The sequence below is a fragment of the Homo sapiens genome, chromosome 6 (genome assembly GCF_000001405.40).
Source record: "Homo sapiens chromosome 6, GRCh38.p14 Primary Assembly".
NCBI classification, from domain to species: Eukaryota; Metazoa; Chordata; class Mammalia; order Primates; family Hominidae; genus Homo; species Homo sapiens.
In genome coordinates, this window is record NC_000006.12 from 49,854,415 (window position 1) to 49,875,297 (window position 20,883).

Sequence of the window (20,883 nt, forward strand, 5' to 3'; positions counted from 1 at the left end):
TGGAGTGCAGTAGCACGATCTTGGCTCACTGCAGCCTCTACTTCCCAGGCTCAAGCGATTCTCCTGCCTCAGCCCCCCAGTAGCTAGGATTACAGGTGTGCACCACCATTACTGGCTACATGCTGCTTATTTCTTAAAACAGATAAACAAGCAACCATCATTTCATTTACATCACTTCCCCATTCAACTATTGTTCTCTGTCTCTACTCTCTTTCCCTATCAATATTCTGGAAAATATCGCCAACTCTGGCTGTCTACAGTTGCCCAAGTAATAGAGCCTCGCATTTACCTCCCTCCATTTTTTTCAATAATATGTTCTCTATTCTAGGTGATCCACCTGCCCTGCTGCTTAGGCATTAGGCAATGTCTGGGGAAATTTGAGGTTGTCGTGATGGGCATGATAGGGGGAGAGTGCTCCTGCCATTTTGTGAATAGAGGGCAAGGATGCTGCTGCTAAATTCCTGCAAGGCCCAGAACAGCCCTCACCACAACAAATAATTATCCCATACAAAATGGCAATAAGGTTGAAGTTGGGAAACCCTACATTAGAAATACTCCTATTAAAATCCCTGACAAGCTCAATTTGCATATGCAATATTGTTTTAATGACTTTATTCTGCTTGGTTTATTGGCAGCTGACTCTTTTGACTAAACTTTCAGTGTAGAAATACTCTTTCTTTTGGTGTAAGGAACAAACACACTCTTTATTTTTCTCTTTCCTTTCTTTGCTTCTTTCACCTGGACTGATTGTGGCTACTGTCTAGCTTTCAACTGGCCTCCCAGAATCCACTAATGCTTTACTATGTCTATAGCCTCTCTCCCACTCCGTGATCCATTCTTTCATAATGCATTCTCCAATCATCATTCGGAGTAAAAATTTTAAAACACAGACACAATGGATTCACTTTACTGTTAGAAGTCTTCAACAGTTTACCATTCATAAAAAGAGGAACTAAAATCTTTAACAAGGCCTTTGAATACTCTGTTTATTCTCAGCCTCTATTTAGGATATGTGTCCTTATCTCTGATTTTTTTTTTTTTGGTTATCTGAATGTGCCAGTTTCCTTCCTGCCATAGAATATTTGCCCATGCCTGTACCTTTGATAGTACACCTTGTTAACTTGCAAAGCCAACTTATTCTTCAGATTGCAGGTATACCGTGTGCTCAGATAAGTCTCTAATTAACTCAGAGACGATTCAGCCTGCCTGTTACCTGATCACAACTCTCTATAGTTTTCCTCAAAAAAACTTTTTGTGTAACATCTACCAGATTGTCATGGAAAATTACCTATATAAAAAGTAAAAACAATTTTTGTTAAATTAGACACCTAATATCCCAAAAAACACTGCCACTGGTGGAAGTTTAAAATATGATTCAGGTCTGGTGGTTAGTCTATTTGCTTTCTACCTGGAGTCTGAAAAAAGAAAGCATAATACTACTTTTGTTGGCAAATTGGAACACATTATTTACTTTAACTCAGACTCATGTTTAAAGTTTATGTAATAAATTTGTGTTGGGGGTTAAATTTATCTTCTTGTTTAAATTTAAAATTCTTAAGCCTTTATTTTATGACCAAACTATCTATAAAATGTATGAAAATATTCTAATAATTCTCTGTTATAGAGCATCAACCTATTGTTTTATCAATGCCTTCTACTTTTTCTTTTGTATTCTTGGTCAAAAGCGGATTGGGTATGGTTTCCCTTGGACGGGTAGGGTTCTACTTATCTGCTCTTTGCTCTGGACTTTTAACTAGTGATACTAATTTCTTCTTTCACATGACAATCTGGGCCAGGCTGTTTCCCAGAACTTGGCCTAAGTGGTCTAAACAGCCTAGTACTAGGTCTTGATGGCAAATATAGGTTTCTGACTGTTTGCCCTTTTCCCATTCCTCTGGAATGGTGGCTATACTTCAGGTTAGCTTTTTCCTTATTATGAAGCATGAAGGTCACCCTTCCTCACTGGGGAAGTAAAATGGTCAGAGAATCAGAGGGAAGGAAGAAGTCTTATTCAGGACTCTAATTCAGGACGCTAATTCCAGCTTACTGGAGGATTACTGGGCATTAAACAGGAGCTCCACCTAGTCTCTCTCTGGGGAAGAAGAGTGAGTAATAGGAACCAAATACCAAACCAACACCCTAATAGCCTAATGCATATGGATTTTCTTTCCACAATAAAACTAAGTGCCTTTTATTTCTTACTTCTCTACCTGGCCTACGAAAATATAAAAACCACTCATTTTCTATACCAAAGTTATTTACTTCAGTTTGTCACAAAATTTGGGGTAAATTAAAATATATATTATTTTCTTTATATCATTGAAGTTATTTAAAGGTGAATATTATTGGCTGATCATAAAATATTATATCATTGAGTGTTCTACTTCTGTTTTGTGACTGTTAAAGTTATTGTTTTTAATTATTAGTGAGATTATTGTTTTTAATTATTAGTGAGATTAAGGTAGCCAATGGAATTCAAACTGCTAATCAGCTCCTCACGTTGCTCTTTGTGCTGTTGGCACCTTTCCATTTTATATTTAATTTTGATGCTTTAAATTCTTGTTATAGTAAAAAATTATATAGCTAATCTGCATTCTCAGTTTTTTTCCTGTGTTATTCAGAGAGGCCACAATGAAATAGATATGGACCCACAGAGCTAACTGATTAAGTATAATTTCAGGCCCTGCCATGTCCTAGTCCTCAGATATTGGCCATATTACTCAACTTTACTATTCTTTGGTTCTCTCCTTTATAAAATGGTATTAAGATGAGTACTTGCCTAACAGGGCTATTGTGAAAACAAAGTGAGTAATGGGTGTAGTGGCCTCACAACAGTGCCTCTAACATGGTGAATTGTATTAAAGTGTTAGCTCTTATCTTTATTTAGAAAGTAATTATGAAACATCCAACCCTCACATACTTTCATGGACAACATAGGCAGTAAGCAAGCAGCAGCAACCAAAAACAAGAGGTGTTTAATTTCCATCCCTGAAAGAAAAATAACACAATTTTAGATTATTCTCAATTCATGGGATAACATCTGGTAATAAACTATTTAAACCACTTTTACATGTGTTTGCATTTTTTTTCCTAAAAGAAACCTTTAGGATCCGAACAAGGTTTAATGTGTTAGTCATTGGGATCCAGATAGAAAGGCAGGACTGTTGTTTGAAGAATAGTAGAATCTCAAAAATATAAATTGTTTTAATCCCTGGACCTTTGAATATGTCATATTGTATGACACAAGGGAATTAAGGTAGCAGATGGAATTCAAACTTCTAATCAGCTAACATTAAAGTAGGGAGATTATCCTGGAATACCTAGGTGGACCCAATGTAATCACAAGAGTATTTAATGTTGAAGAGGAAGTCAAAAGAGTCAATGTCAGTGATGAGCATGAGACAGACTTGACCAGTCATGCTGAATTTGAAAACAGAGGAAGATACTCCAAGCTAAGGAATATGGATAGCCTCTGGAAGCAGGAAAAGGTAAGGAAACAGATTCTCCCCATAGAGTTTCCCTGTTGACATTCTGATTTTAGCCTAGGAAGACCTATTTGAATTTCTGACCTCCAGAACAGTAGGATAATAAACCTGTATTTATTTTAGAACATTCAATTTATGATAACTTGTTATAGTAGCAAGAGGAAACTAATATAAGAACACAGAAAGATTCTATTTAAACTCTCCGTCAGCTACAAAGAAGAGGAGTAACTTGCTACTACTAATTTATGTAAGTGACTTAGCGATATTCCATAATATCTGATCACTTTGCTAAGCATGGTTGTCATTATGAGTCAGACAAATCAGAGCTAATGTACCTTCTCTTTTATTTTTAGTTAATATAGCTAGCTAACTCTAGGATATTAATAAGTATAGATTATTGAATTTGGTTGGCACCTTCTTTTCACCATCTGCCAAGTTTATTTCTGAATTAATCCTGCTGTGTGAGAAGCAAAAAAGGCTAACAGTTTGGTTCTCATTTTACAAAAGAAAGCACTTTTAAAGAGCAAGTTAACAAATTTGTGCAGAATAATACAGGGCAGACAATTAATCATGCTTTTTCACCCAATGATGTAGTTTACCATTGCTCTCACGTTTCCCCTGCTGACTGCCAGACATGCTCAATATGAGAAGAACTCTCTAAATCAATTCTTTCAGAGAACATACACATGTAAACAATCTCACCTTTATCACTCTTTTTCATCTATTTCCTTTCCTTTCTTTCTCCCTCCAAATGTTCACATAGCCTCACATTTCAAGATTTATCGTAATATGGTGACACAGATGATGAAATGTCCCTTTCTCTTTCTAATGCTCAAAAAATCTAGTAAAGCAGATAATATTAACCCTGAGGTAACTGAAACAAAAAAGGTAAATAAAAGGGAGATTCTGAGGGGAGGGGCTTCAAGAAAGATAGCTGACTAGGCATCTGGCACTTGCCTTCTCCACAAAGAAGAACCAAAATAAGGAGTAGATAATTAAACTTCAAATAGACCATCTAGTATTCAACAGATAAGTGACATGAAACACCTAAAGCAAAAAAGGAGAGAAAAACAAGGCAGTCTGCTCAGTTGGGACTGACTGGGAGCCTGGAAAGGCTCCTTAACACATGGAAAGGGTAAGTGAGTGACCCCCACTGATGCACATTTTCATCGTGGACTTCTGCTTCCTAGCCATTGGGATGCTTCTAGACTCTCACAGACCCCTCGAGGCTACCAAAGAGTTGCCTGGAGCCTGCCCAAAGGCACAGTTCCAGAGGAGAGTTCACGGTGGGTCCCACGGGTTTCACACACCCTTGAGTGCTAGGCAGCTACAGAAGCGTCCTTTATTGAGAGCCTATTCCCAACCAGGCTGCATCCTGCACAGGGCCCCAGCAGTCCTTGCATATCCACATCTCTGGAGCCACATTGACATTTCCCACCTGAAGTGTCTGCTGCACCTAGCTGCTGCTGCCAGAGATGATATATTTAACAAGTGCTGAAAGAAAAAAAAAAAAAAGAAACATCCACCTATGGATACTATAACGAAGAAAGTTATTCTTCATAAATGAAAGATTAAAAAAAAAGTTTTTTCCAGACAAGCAAAAGCTAAGGGAATTTACTACCATTAGACTGGCCTTACCAGTAATGCTTAAAGGAGCCCTACACATGGAAGTGAAAAGATATCTACCATCATGAAAACACACAAAAGTATTAAACCCACTGGTAGAGCAAACACAAATAAGGAAGAGCAAAAACTCAAATGTTATCACTACATAAAACTACCTAACCACCATGATAAACAATAAGAGAAAAAGGAAACAAAAAATATGCAAAACAGCCAGAAATCAACTAACAAAATGACATATCAATAATAACATTGAATGTAAATGGATTAAATTTTCAATTTAAAAAATACAGAGTGGCTGAATGGATTAAAATATGACCCAACTGTATTCTGTCTATAAGAAAGTCATCTCACCTGTAAAGATAGATATAGACTGAAAGCAAAGGGATATCAAAAGATACTTCATGCAAATGGAAACCAAAACCAAGCAGGAATAGCTATAGTTTATCTTATAGCTATAAGATAAAACAGACTTTAAGTTCAAAACAGCAAAAGCAGACAAAGAAGGTCATTATGTAATGAAAAAGGGATCAATTCAGCAAGAGAATGTAACAATTCTAAATGTATGCACCCAACAATGGAGCACCTAGATATATAAAGCAAATATTATTATATCTAAAGGGAGAGACAAACTCCAATGCTATAATAGTGGGGACTTCAACACCCCACTCTCAGCATTAGACAGATCATCTATATAGAAATTAACAAAGAAACATTGGATTTAAGTTGGATATTAAACCAAACGAACCTAACAGACATTTATAGAACATTTTATCCAACAGCTACAAAGTGCACATTCCTCTCATCAGCACATGAAACATTCTCTAGGATGGACCATATGTTACAAAACAAAACAAGTCTCAACAAGTTTTTAAAAATTGAAATGATGTCAAGTATCTTCTCTAACTATAGTGAAATAAAACTAGAAATCAATAACAAGAGGAAATTTGGAAACTGTAAAAAATGTAGAACTTAAACAACAGACTCCTGAATGACCACTGGGTCAAGGAAGAAATTAAGGAGTAAATCAAACAATTTTTTAAACAAATAAAAATTGAAACACAGCATACCAAAACCTATGGGGATACAGCAAAAGCTGTGCTAAAAGGCAAGTTTATACTGACAAACAACTACCTCAAACAAAAGAAAGATTTTAAATAAACAATCTAATAATGCATCTCAAGAACTAAATGAAAATAAGGACAAATCAAACCCAAAACTGGCAGAAGAAATCACAAAGTTTAGAGCAGAACTAGACAAAATAGAGACTTTAAAAAATATACAAAGGATAAAAAAATGTTGATTTTTTGAAAATATAAACAAGACCAATAGGCCGAGTAACCAAGATAAAAAAGAGAAGACCCAAATAAACAAAATCAGAAAAACAAAAGATATTACAATTGTCACTAGAGAAATACAGAAGACCACAAGACAATCATGGATAACTATATACTAACAACTGAAAATTTTAGAGAAAATGAATAAATTCCTGGAGACATACAACCTACCAAGATTGAATCAGAAAGAAATAGAAACCAGAGCTGACCAATAATGAATAATGACACTGAATTATAATAAAAACTCTACCAATAAGAAAAGTCCAGGATCAGATGATTTCACTGCTGAATTCTACCGAATCTTCAAAGATGAACTAACACCTATTCTTCTCAAACAATTCCAAAAAAATTCAAGGAAAGTAAAGTTGCCCTAATTCATTCTAAAAGGCTGCCATTACTCTGATACCAAAACCAGACAAGGATGCAACAAAGAAGAAATCTATAGGCCAATATCCCTGATGAACATAGATGCAAAGTTCCTTAAAAAAATACTAACAAACCAAATCCAACAGCACATGTAAGATATAATGCACCATGATCATTATAGCAGTGGGATTTATAGCAGGGATGCAAGGATGGTTCAACATATGCAAATCAATAAATGTGACATATCACATTAACAAAATAAAGGAAAAGAACCATATGGTAATCTCAACAGACTCCTTAAAAGCATTTGATAAAATTTAACATCTCTTCCTGACAAAAAACTCTCAACAAACTAAGAATTGAAAGAACCTAGCTCGGCCAGGCACGGTAACTCACGCCTGTAGTTCCAGCACTTTGGGAGGCCGAGGTGGGCAAATCACTTGAGGTCATGAATTCAAGACCAGCCTGTGCAACATGGTGAAACCTCGTCTCTACTAAAAATACAAAATATTATCAAGGCATGGTGGCACGCACCTATAGTCCTAGCTACTCAGGAGGTTGAGGTGGGAGAATCACTTGAACCCAGGAGGCAGAGGTCACAGTTAGCCAAGATCATGCCATTGCGCTCAAGCCTGGACAACAGAGCAAGACTCCATAAAAAAAAAAATAACATAACTCAACATAATAAAGGCCATATATGACAAATCCACATCTAACATCACACTAAATGGAGAAAAGCTGAATGTCTTTTCTCTAAGGCCTATAACAAGACAACATTGCCCATGTTCAGCACTCTTATTTAACATAGTGCTGGGAAGTTCTAGCCAGAGAAATCACTTGAGAGAAAGAAATAAAAGGCATTCAAATTGGGAAAGAGAAAGGCAAATTGTCACTCTTTGCAGATGATATGATCTTATGTCTAGAAAACCTAAAGACTCCACCAAATTCTTAGATCTGATAAGTAAGTTAAATAACTTTGCAAGATATAAAATCAACATGCAAAAATCAGTAGTGTTTCAAAGAAAATACGTAAAGATAAATTTTACCAAAGAGGTGAAAAACTTCTACAAGGAAAACTGAAAAACTCTTATGAAAGAAATTGAAAAGGACACAAAAATTATGGGCTCTAATTAATTCTAATAGAAGACTTCTGAAAATACATAATATTACTGATATTAGAAAAATATATATATACACACACACAATCTGCATATTTTACATATAGTTTTTTTTGTCAAAAGTGTGTGAAAAAATTCATTGTTTTATGATATAAGATATTTGATATAATGCTAAATCTAGGTAAATTAATCCCAGAACTTATTTTCTGTGCAAGTATTAAAAGCATCCAGAAGAAAACTTATTATGATCTCTTGAGAATGATTATGGGATAATCGGTATCACCTGGGATTATGGTTACTTTGCATGTTGGCATATCCAATGAATTCTGGTTGATCAAAGTTTAGGGCAACTATGCTAAGGGAAACTGCTAAGAAAGGACCTTAGATTTTTCAGTCCATGCTTTGGCTTGAGGTCAATGAATAGGTAAAATGCGTACACTCAAAGTTACACCTTCTCAGAGAAAAGAAGCTACAAAAAAAAAAACAAAACAAAACTGGAGGGTCATTTTTTTTTGCTTGAGGTCTAAAATAGTCACTTGGGGTGACTGAGTCAAAATATGAGGGTAAAAGTTAATAATTCAACATCAGAAGTAAATTAAGCATTTCAGAATGAGGATTGAATACAGGAAATTATGAAGGTATCTCTGTTGCCCCAGAATTATAATAGTACAGATTTTGGGCCTTGGGATAATTCCCGGACATATGGGTCAAAATCAGGTAAAGCCGAAGGGATGGAAAACTGCAGGAAATAGAGCATTTGGCAAATAGCAAATCCTGCTGATGTAAGAAAGATGCAGACCTAAAGATTAGAATTGTAGAGCATGGCTCAGAGCTGGAACAGAGTTTGTGAGGGTGAAAATATAAATGGGCCCAGGGTAAAAGACCCTGTAGATCCAGACTGAGATACTAAGCCCTAGTCCAACCTCTGGGACTTATCTTATCCCAATGTTCCAATAGGATAAATTATTCTCTACCACCTGGAAGATTGCAAATCTAGGAACTAAGTAGGCCATTTCAACCAAGGAATTACATAGCTGCTTGAACTTAGGTAAAGGTAGCTCTTCTGAACAGAAGTATTACAGAAGAAGAAGAAGCATTACTTCATTGGCTTTAGCATCAATTCCTTCTTAACACAATTATTTTATACACAGATGGCAATCTTAAGCCAATACTCTTAAAATATTTCCAGATAATAATACCAGCAACTTGATACATTATTTAAATGTATTTCTTTACCCTTTAGTTTCAGATTGTGTTTCTTGTTGACAAATTTGTAAATCATAAACAACTAAAAGTTAATATTTTGTGAGAGGAAAGATCAAAGATGAGGGAAAAGACTGAGGACAACTGGGTACTGCCCTATGGCATGCCCTGGGGAATGCACTCTCATAGAATCAATTGTTAGACCATGACCTTCTCAGAAAGCACTTACATGAAGAACAGTCCCTTCCTTGCCTTAACCAAAGAATTAACTCTACAAAGAATTAACATGAACTCTACAAGAAATACATCTTCTTTTTAATCTTCCTCACCTCAGTGAATCTGTTATTTGTTTAAAAAAGTTACTGAGGTATAACTTACATATAACACAGCATGCAAGTCTTAAGTGTATAGTTTGATTGATTTACAACTATGTATATGCTAGTGTAACCACTACCAAAAGCAATATATAGATGATTTCCAACACCCAGGAAGGTCACTTGCACCCCTTTCAGTCTGAAGCCCTCAAGAGTAAAACCTATCTTGATATAACTAGGATTAGTTTTATCAGTTTTTAAACTTTGAATAAGTGAAATATCTATTTTTAATGTCTAACCTTTTTCACTACTCATTATTATACTTATGAGATTCAACCACGTTGCATGTGAAGAAGTTTGATTTGTTAATAACTGCAGAGTATTCCATGGTATACACACAGTATAATTAATTTAATCATTCTATTATTTATAAGAATTTTGATTATTTTCAGTTTGGAACTATTATAAATAAAACTATGAACATTTTCTCTGTACCTCTTTTAGTAAACACTGTTGCTATTCACTGTGTGTGTGTGTGTGTGTGTGTGTGTGTGTGTGTGTGTGTATGTGTTTGGATATATACCCCAGAGTGGGATTATTGGGCTGTATGGTATACACATGTCTTCCTTTGGTAGGTATTGTCAAATATTTTTCCAAATGAGTTTTATCAAATCATACTTCCATCAGCTTCATACCCTCACCTATTATTTGTATTCTCAGCTTTTTTCAATTTTAATCTATTATGTTTGTGTAATACTATTTCATTGCAGTTTTTAATTTATATTTGTTTAATAACAAGATATTGAGCTTATTTACATGTGCTTATCAGCCACTTTGATCCCATCTTTTCTGTAATCTCTGTTGAATGTTTTTTCCATGGTTGTAATTAGGTTGGCTCTTTTTCTTATTCGCTTGTATGAATTCTTTACATGTTCTTGATAGGGCAATTGTCAAATGTTTTACGAATACCTTCCCTTAGTCTGTGGCTTATTATTTGAACTATCTTAGTTGTAGCTTTTGTTAAACAAAAGTTTCTAATTCAAATAAATCTAGCTAATTTTTATTTTCTTATGTTAGTGCTTATGCATGTGTTGGCATGTGTGTGTTCTATTTAAGAAATTTTGGTTATCCAAAAGTAATGAGTCATAAAGGCATTTTCTTCTATAAGATAGATTTAACATTGAAAAAATATTGGAGAACAAAGCTGTAGGATTTACAATACCAAGTATTAAAACTCACTATAATGCTGAAGTCATTAAGACAGAGTACTAGTAACACAAATACAGATAAATGGACCAATGGCATATTATGTAATACAGAAACAAATTCACATACATAGTCATCTGATTTATGACAAAGTCTCAAATGCAATTGAGTGGGGAAAGGATGATCATTTTTATAAAAGAGATGAGGTCAATGGAATATCTAATAGAGAAAAGATAAGGATTCTGATAACTACCTTCCACTAAAAACAAAAATTGTTTTCCCTTGAGTTATAGATTTAAATGTGAGTACCATCTTATTTTTACAAATCTAAATGTGCAAACTATCATATTTGTAAGACATAAATACCAGCTATTTGATGATTATCTGATATTATTTGAAGTGTGCAGTCATATTTCTTCCAAATTCTCTTGTCTAATGATTTTCTCTCATTATAGTCAATTTGATCCATTGCATTATATGTAAAAGGTCTTTGTGAAAACAAAAGGAAGGTGGTTGGTGGTTGCTTTGGTATATATTACTAAAGGTAAGATTTCCATAAGCAGTTTTGGAGAGAATAATTCAGAGAGTACAAAGCATTAATGGGATTGAGATAGAAACTGGAAAGGGAGTGAGGGAGCAGGAAGGGCCCAAAGGGAAGTTGAGGAGGGCTGAGGTGGGGCACAAAAGTTGTGTAATTTACAAGTCCAAGACCTAGCATGAAGACCCTGGAGACTTGAAACAAGGGTGGAGACTGGCAGATGGAAAGACTGCAGAAAGAAGTTTGGACAGCTTAAAATCCTGCCCGCTGGGGCCCATCACTAGTTCTCAATTTCTCCTTCATGCTGTCTTGGTTCTGATAGAGGCTGCCTTACAGTCTGTAAAATAAATCTTTAATCGCCATTATCCATTAAATGTCTAGCAACTCCCGAAAACAAAATGTCAAGTTATAAAAGTGACAGAGGACCACTACCTGTTTGACTATGGCCCCTTATTACTGGCTAATTCTTTTGGCAGCATTTTCAATATTTTGTGAAATAAAAGATGCCTACGTTGTCATTTTCAGATCTATATAACCCTATGGTAATTGTCCCTACGTGAAAAAATGTTTCTTCTAAGCCCTCCCCAAGAAGTTCATGAGAATGAACTCAACATGTAATATTACTTTATATTTGGATAGTATATCAGCTTATAAACACCTTTATTAAAAGCATGGAGATAACTAACATTTACTTTTAGATAACAATAGCATTAGAATAAAACTTTGCATGTAATCTCATTTAACATTATAACAATGCTTTTGGGTAGTCACTTATGAATCTTATTTTCAAATAAAGAAACTGACAAAGATATTATATAACTTACCCAAGTCCACACAGCCTTTAAATTTGTGTCCTGATAAGAACCAAGCCTTTCTCTATGTAGTGTATTTGTGCTTTTAAATGACAGTCCACAGGGGAGATTTGTTCAATGAGGTAGTCAGTACAAGGTAAATGCCTATAACAGATCAAGGGATTTACGGTGGACACCAGGCATGAATACATGATAATCAGAACAAATCTAGAGTCTGTGAAGATTACAAATCATGATTATGGGGACATTTCTAGTTTGTAACCAAGGCAACATCATCAATGGAACTCACCAATTTTAAACTTTTACCCTGGGAACTAACTGCAAAGATTAGTTGCATGATTCAGCAGAGCCACAATCAGATAACAAAGGTCACTGTAAGGGAAAATGACTTGCTGGTCCAGAAACTTCTCAACTTTATTAAATTCATTCAGTAATTATTTATTGAGGTCTTAAGATGATTTATGCTCTCTTCTAGATGCTGAGGATACATAGAATCACCAAACATATAAACTACACAATCTTATGGAGTTTGGTAACTGTTCTATAATGTGTCACATACTTGGAGAGGCTCTGGGAATGAAAAGATAAGTAGTCCATTTTCCTAAGACCTTCCTGGTTAAAAGGAAAACTTCTGCAATTTGGGAGAATTCTAATAGAGATTTGTCCAGAAACAATGTGGAAGCAACTAACTACCTTGAGAGGTCTAGAAATACTGAACACTAAATTGTAAAACACTAAAAATTCCAGAAATCATTTGAGTCACATGATGAGAAATATCACAGGACACTTAGAACAAAGAAAGAAATATCACACAGACAGAAATCACATATGAGAATAGAAAATTTACTCTGAAACTAGGTGTAATCAGATGTTTTTGAATTGTCTTATTATTCTGAAAAGTTGGGAAATGTTTGTATATGTGAGTGCATGGTCGCTTATATTGAAGTCATAGCTTGCTGGCCTCTTTTTAAAATTATGAATTAAGTCTTTGTTCTTTGTAAGAAAGAATACATTATTATTTAATAAAAAATATTTTTCTTGTATCTTGCTTAAGAAAGGGCAATTGAATATCTAAAAGGAAAGAGTAAAAATAAGGTAAGAATTGTGTAGTCATAAGTTATTTTGTGTTAGTTCTGGGGTGAGGGTTAGGAAATAAAAATTAAAAGAAAGATCAGAGTCTCTTAAGATAGAACTTTCTGGTCTTGTTAAAGTATATAATGAATGTCCAGAAAACCATCTGCAGGAAAGGAGAACTAAACATCACTAAAAATTGCTCACCTATACCTAGAAGAATTTCTCTTTTGGTTGAGGGAGATGGTGTTAATCTAAAAACATAGAAAAGCTTATCTGTAAACTCTTTCATAGATAAGATGAATTATCTTTAGCTTAACTTTAATTGGCTTTAAAGAATTTTACATGATCTTGAAATTAACACTTCCAAATTATTGAGCAACTTTCTCCAACAAACTACATTGTAAAAAGAAAGCTGCAAAAGAATGCTATTACTTCACCAAACCAGCATGGTTTATATATTAGAAATGTATAATTGTCATTTATTTCTTGCTAAACTGCTGTTTATAAAGGAGAGTGTTGATTCAACATCAAGTCAAGTGTTTATGGAAACTTAATTGCTCTGGTTTTATCTGTTGGTCCTGGCAATTCCTGGCATTGCTCTACCCAACACAATGCTGTCTGTATTTATAGCACTGATGTCTTCATATAGAGTTGCTATCCAGCTTCATATATGGTTTTAAAAGAATTTGGGAAGTGTTGGAAAGCAAGGAATAACTTGATTTGCATGTGAGTCCCAAACATGGGTGCCAGTTGGCTGTTTCTGTTCATAAATTTCCTATTTTCATAGATTGTTCTCTTTCTGTTTAAGCTTTTTAGCATAGTAGGAAACTATCTACAATAACTTTTTTCCCTAAAATAATAATCTGACACATTTATCTAGCATATCATAACATGATAGAATATTTCTAACTGGATTATCCCAGAAAAATCTTGAGAGATAGATAAAGGCTAATGTGTTTACAATCACATCATGTTTGTCTGAATATATCCATTTTTAAAAGAAACTTTAAATCAATCATTTACTCAGAGATTGGCTAACAAAAATTTTAGAAAGCCCAGATATATAATACATGTTGAAGGAAGCATTCATGTGTTAAATGTGATTTTAAAATCATATTTGTAAAATAATTTTGCATATATTCTGGCTGTGGCTTTATTCTAATTATCCACTGGACACAGACATCCTCTCCTTTCCCTTCACTTTCTCCATGACTGAACTCTTACCTACAACAATCCCATTTGTGTCTCATTGCTTCTTCATACCACTCAGTAAAATTGTGCTTATGCTTCAAAGTCCTGTATGTTGCAAGGGCTCAATGACTCCAGACTTGCTCAGAAACTCAGGCCAAAAAGTACTCTAGACTTTAACAAATTCAAACTTATGTTGCACATAAAATAAAGCCAAAGTCAGTTTCTGAATTTGAATTTTAAGAACCCTGGGAGATTAATGGCCCTTTGAAATTTCCCCCCTCTTCTTCTACAATTTATAGCTTTCATAATCAGAATGAAAGTCAATATACATTTATCCTTCTATTCAACTTTGTTTTAGTTGTCTACTTCTCATAATAAATAATCCCAAGGCTCAATGATTTAAAGCAATAAATGTGGTCTCTTGGTTTCTGGGAATCAGTAATTCAAGGATGGCTTGACTGAGCACATTTGGTTTATGGTGCCTCATTGATTGCAATCAGTTGTCAGTTGAGGCTGCAGACATTTATATCTCTGATGGCTTTCCTGCTTCCAAATTGATTTACTTATATGACTTGCAAGTTGGTGCTGTTTGTTGGTGCGAAGCCCTAGTTGCTCTCCAGATTGGCCTTTCCACAGGGCTTCTGATTATCCTTATAACTTGACAGTCACCTACCCCTGAGCAAATGATGCAAGAACACAGGAGAGGCTGCAATGCCTTTTATGACATAGAGTGAGAAGTCACACACTTTAATATTCTATTGTTCACAGAGTCTAGCTCTAATTCGATTAACAAGAAGACCACACAAGAGCATAACTACCAGGAGGCAAGGATTATTGAAGCTATCCTGGAAGTTGCCATCATACACTCCTACCCCTAACCTCTTTTTAACTTTAAATTCAGTTTTTTCTACAGCTCACTTGAGGAAAGTCTTGTGATTCCTCTCAAGTTAACAGAAAGATGTCAGTATAAAGCTGGAAGTATGAAAACAGTATCCTTTCTTTCCCAGGAGTAAAAGTGTTAAAAAATCATGCCAAAAATTTAAATGGAAAAGGAAGGTACTATGGTCTAAATGTTGGTGTCCCCTCAAAGTTTATGTGTTGGAACCTAATACCTAATGTGATTGTGTTAAGAGTTAGGGCCTTTTGGGAAAGACTAAGTCAAAAGGGCTCCATTCCCTTCAATCTCGTTTATAAGGGGACTAATCCCAGGGGTACTAAACCCAAACAAGGTTGAAGGGAGTGCCTGTGCCGTTTTTGCCATGTGAGGATGCAGCTAGAAGGTGCCATCTATAAGGAACAGGTCCCTTCTCAGACTTTAAATCTAACAGCTCTTTGATCTTGGACTTCCCAGCCTACAGAACTGTGAGAAATAAATTTTTGTTTTTTGTACATTACCCAGTCTAAGGTATTTTATTATCACAGGCCAAACAGACTAAGAAAGAAAGATAGACAAATAAATTGCACTGTCACAAAAACAAACTTCCTAACCAATACCAAGTCTGGCAATCACATGGATCTTTCTCAAAAATGACTGTAGAGATTTAGATACAGTTAATTTGGAATTTGTGTCAGCTAGGATGCCAACACAAAAAGATGACATACTCAAACTGGGTAATTGAGGGAGAGTTTAATGATGGAAATTTCCAAAGTTGAGGGTAGGGTGTAATAATACCAGTATGGACAATAGAGTAACCAGTAGTAGTAAATTTGTCACTCCTAACCTGAATGGGTGAGAGAAAGCAGGAGTTATTGTAGGTTGGAAAGTGAGGGAGCTGTGTGGAAAGGGCTGCCTTGCAAGAAGCTGTGGCCTCAGGTATTGAAACACAGCTAGCCCATAGAACTTCTTCAGGTTGGGAAGTAAGTAAATACATACCTTGGACTTTGGCCAAAACTGACTCGAAGTCAAGGTCAAGAGAGCCTGTTAATACAGACAATTATGCAAATTTATATGATTTAATTTCTAACCTTCAGTTTCTTGTGAGACTCACCCAAATTTACTTGAGTTGTTTAACTCTGTATATATAACAACATCCTTGAGTTATGAAGGATATTGTTTTCTGCTCCAAATTAATCCCCAAATTTTGCTTAAGGTTGTTTGTGTAGACTTCAGTTAGGGTTTCTAATAACAAAATAGGCCAGGCGTGGTGGCTCATGCCTGTAATCCCAGCACTTTTGGAGGCCGAGGTGGGCGGATGACCTGAGGTCAGCTGTTTGAGACCAGCCTGGCCAATCAATGTGGTGAAACCCCATGCCTACTAAAAATACAAAAATTAGCTGGATGTGGTTGTGCGTGCCTGTAATCCCAGCTACTCAGGAGGCTGAGGCATGAGAATCGCTTGAACACAGGAGGCAGAGGTTGCAGTGAGCTGAGAGATCGCGCCATTGCACTCTAGCCTGGGGGATAAGAGGGAAACTCCATCTCAAAACAAAAACAAAAACAAAACAAACAAAAAAAAAACAAAGAAAGAAAGAAAAAAATAAAAAAGTGTGTCTGTCTTCCTTCTAACATGCACTCATTATTCAAAAACATTGATTTAAGTGCCATCTCCATGCCAGGTGAGATATAAGATGATGAACACATAGTTTTGAACAAAATAATTGCCCTACTGGAACAGAGGTTACATTGTAATGATCACATGGCTTCAGGAAATAGACATAGTAATGAGGACAAAGTGATGGATGCTTCTAAAATGGTCACTCTACAGGGAAGTAATCCATGAATCTACTGAACATAAACTCAGCGAAAGTCAAAGCCAATTTTTTCTAAGTCCAACCCACCATACATTTGAAAAATATGTAGAAATACATTAGAAATCTGTAAACAGGTACACATTAAAAAGGGATAAGCCAAATGCTATCCCTCCCCCCTCCCCCCGCCCCACAACAGGCCCCAGTGTGTGATGTTCCCCTTCCTGTGTCCATGTGTTCTCATTGTTCAATTCCCACCTATGAGTGAGAACACGTGGTGTTTGGTTTTTTGTCCTTGTGATAGTTTGCTGAGAATGATGGTTTCCAGCTTCATCCATGTCCCTACAAAGGACATGAACTTATCATTTTTTATAGCTGCATAGTATTCCATGGTGTATATGTGCCACATTTTCTTAATCTGGTCTATCGTTGTTGGACATTTGGGTTGCTTCCAAGTCTTTGCTATTGTGAATAGTGCCACAATAAACATATGTGTGCACGTGTCTTTATAGCAGCATGATTTATAATCCTTTGGGTATATACCTAGTAATGGGATGGCTGGGTCAAATGGTATTTCTAGTTCTAGATCCCTGAGGAATCGCCACACTGACTTCCACAATGGTTGAACTAGTTTACAGTCCCACCAACAGTGTAAAAGTGTTCTTATTTCTCCACATCCTCTCCAGCACCTGTTGTTTCCTGACTTTTTAATGATCACCATTCTAACTGGTGTGAGATGATATCTCATTGTGGTTTTGATTTGGATTTCTCTGATGGCCACTGATGATGAGCATTTTTTCATGTGTCTTTGGGCTGCATAAATGTCTTCTTTTGAGAAGTGTCTGTTCATATCCTTTGCCCACTTTTTGATGGGGTTGTTTGTTTTTTTCTTGTAAATTTGTTTGAGTTCATTGTAGATTCTGGATATTAGCCCTTTGTCAGATGAGTAGGTTGCGAAAATTTTCTCCCATTTTGTAGGTTGCCTGTTCATTCTGATGGTAGTTTCTTTTGCTGTGCAGAAGCTCTTTAGTTTAATTAGATCCCATTTGTCAATTTTGGCTTTTGTTGCCATTGCTTTTGGTGTTTTAGACATGAAGTCCTTGCCCATGCCTATGTCCTGAGTGGTGTTGCCTAGGTTTTCTTCTAGGGTTTTTATGGTTTTAGGTCTAACATTTGAGTCTTTAATCCATCCTGAATTAATTTTTGTATAAGGTGTAAGGAAGGGATCCAGTTTCAGCTTTCTACATATGGCTAGCCAGTTTTCCCAGCACCATTTATTAAATAGGGAATCGTTTCCCCATTTCTTGTTTTTGTCAGGTTTGTCAAAGATCAGATAGTTGTAGATATGCGGCATTATTTCTGAGGGCTGTGTTCTGTTCCATTGGTCTATATCTCTTTTTTGGTACAAGTATCATGCTGTTTTGGTTAAAGTAGCCTTGCAGTATAGTTTGAAGTCAGGTAGCATGATGCCTCCAGCTTTGTTCTTTTGGCTTAGGATTGGCTTGGCAATGCAGGCTCTTTTTTGGTTCCATATGAACTTTAATGTAGTTTTTTCCAATTCTGTGAAGAAAGTCATTGGTAGCTTGATGGGGATGGCATTGAATCTATAAATTACCTTGGGGAGTATGGCCATTTTCATGATATTGATTCTTCCTACCCATGAGCATGGAATGATAGCATTTGGAGATATACCTAATGTTAAATGACGAGTTACTTGGTGCAGCACACCAACATGGCACATGTGTACATATGTTAACTAACCTGCACACTGTGCACATGTACCCTAAAACTTAAGTATAAAAAATAAAAATAAAAAAATAAAATAAAATAAAAAGGGATAAGCCAGAAAAACCTAATTGTTCAAGGATATAACACAACTTTCCTTATTCCTATAAAGAAAATTTTTCCAAAATATGTGTCTGGAAGGAGTTAGGCAAAGAAACTCGTGAGTAAAATTGCAGATCTCAGGAAATGTTGCTTAATTTTTAAAACTAAATGCCATTTAATTTGATTAATGATTAAATATTATGAATCAATATTTAACTTAGTCTTCATAAATTTTTAGTTTACACTTTGGCAGCCAGGTCCTAGCATAAAGCAACCACCCTAAAATTTCCTTATGTGTCCTCATGTTAGGCTATTTTTCCTACCTAGAGAATATAATACTTGAAATGGTTTCTCACTATGCACACTTGAACTTAATTTTGATAATTAAAAATGAAGTTTTCATTATTCATCAACAAAATGGATCAAAAGGAACAGAGTTATTTATAGAACTGGTTATATCAAATGTGAAGGATTATTATTTCTTTCAAGATTATGTATTGCTTATATTATTGGTGGTAAAATTTCTACCTTTAGTGAAATTATTAGCAATAGTAGATAAAATATTTAAAGTTTTTTAAAGCTCAGTACCTATACTTAACAAAAATATAAACTTGACAACCCACTTGACCTCCAGATTTTATTTCTCCAGTTTCATTTCAGTGAATCAGAACCATAAAGCTGAGCTACTAATATATTTTAAGGAGTGTTAAACTGATAGACACAAGTAGATATCTGTGTATGACTGAAAATTCCTAATTAGTTGATTGGTTTAAATACATTCCTTAACCCACAGTTACTTTGATTTTCTTATTTTTAAATATAGAAAATAGGATATATGCTCTCCCAGTATTCTTCCTGAATTAATATACCATGTTGAATTTTTGTTTTCTCTGTCTTTCCAAAGTTAGAAAAAAAATAAACAAATGAGGAGGGAGACATTTTCAGTCAATAATAGAACCTTAGCAAGCCAGAAACCTAATGTAGTTATTACTATCAATGATAGATCTTCCTTCAGTAGCTATTGAATAGTAAATATGGCAATTCTGAATAATATTAGAACTAAAACAGTTATATAGTTTCTTAAGGCAAGTACTGATGCCTAATGCTATAAAACATTTAGAAAAATAGACCCAATTGATTTCAGATAACTAAAAACACTCAGAAAAATCATGATTTTCTTCCCTTCATGTTCTTCCAGAGAAGTTCAAATCATAACTGATAATGTGCAAAGAGTAATGACATTTGATTTTGAATGTAAATGTTAGAAGTAACTTTCCTCCTGGGGTAGGGAAAACCACCATTTTTAAGGGTTGGTTGACTCAGTCCTTCCAGCCTGCCTTCAGGATATTATTTTATGAGGCCAGCATCATCCTGATACCAAAAATTTGGTAGAGATACAGCAACGACAACAAAAACTTCAGGTCAATATCCTTGATGAACATTGATTCAGAAATCCTCAATAAAATACTGGCAAACCAAATCCAGCAGTGCATCAAAAAACTTATCCACCACGATCAAGCTGCCTTCGTCTCCAAGATGCAAGTTTGGTCCAACATATGCAAATCAATAAATGTGACTCATCACATAAGCAGAATTAAAGACAAAAATCACATGACTATGTCAATAGAATGCAGAAAAGGCCTTTGTTAAAGAAAACCACATCCCATTCATGTTAAAAACTCTCAATAAACTAGGTATTGAAGGAAAATACCTCAAAATAATAAGAGCCATATATGACGAACCCACAGCAAACATAATAACAAATGGGCAAAAGCTGGAAACATTTTCCTTGAAAACTGACACAAGACGAGGATGCCCTTTCACAATACTCCTATTCAACATATTATTGGAAATTATGGCCTGGGCAATCAGGCAAGAGAAGAAAATAAAGTGTATTTAAATAGGAATAGAGGAAGTCAAACTCTTTGTTTGCAGATGACACGATCCTATATATAGAAAACTCCATTGTCTCATCCCAGAAGATTCCTAAACTAATAAACAACTTCAACTTCAGCAAAGTCTCAGAATACAAAGTCAATGTGCAAAAGTCAATAATATTCCTATATACCAACAAGAGGCAAGCAGAGGGCCAAATCATGAA

At 35.3% G+C, this 20,883-nt stretch overlaps 1 protein-coding gene across 3 annotated transcripts in view; it reads right to left on the reverse strand.

Moving 5' to 3' along the window:
* The window catches only part of CRISP1 (cysteine rich secretory protein 1), a 42,840-nt gene that overhangs the window by 20,158 nt on the left and 1,799 nt on the right, over nucleotides 1–20,883 (reverse strand). For 2 of the 3 annotated variants that reach the window (NM_170609.2, NM_001131.3), the window contains exons 1-2: nucleotides 12,015–12,121; nucleotides 2,921–2,988 (exon numbers count right to left, since the gene is read on the reverse strand). In NM_170609.2, coding sequence (NP_733758.1) covers nucleotides 2,921–2,986 — 66 coding nt within the window. In that variant the 5' untranslated portion in view covers nucleotides 2,987–2,988; nucleotides 12,015–12,121. Of the gene's footprint in view, nucleotides 1–2,920; nucleotides 2,989–12,014; nucleotides 12,122–20,883 lie in introns of those variants that run through there. The other variant, NM_001205220.2, reaches the window with a different exon arrangement.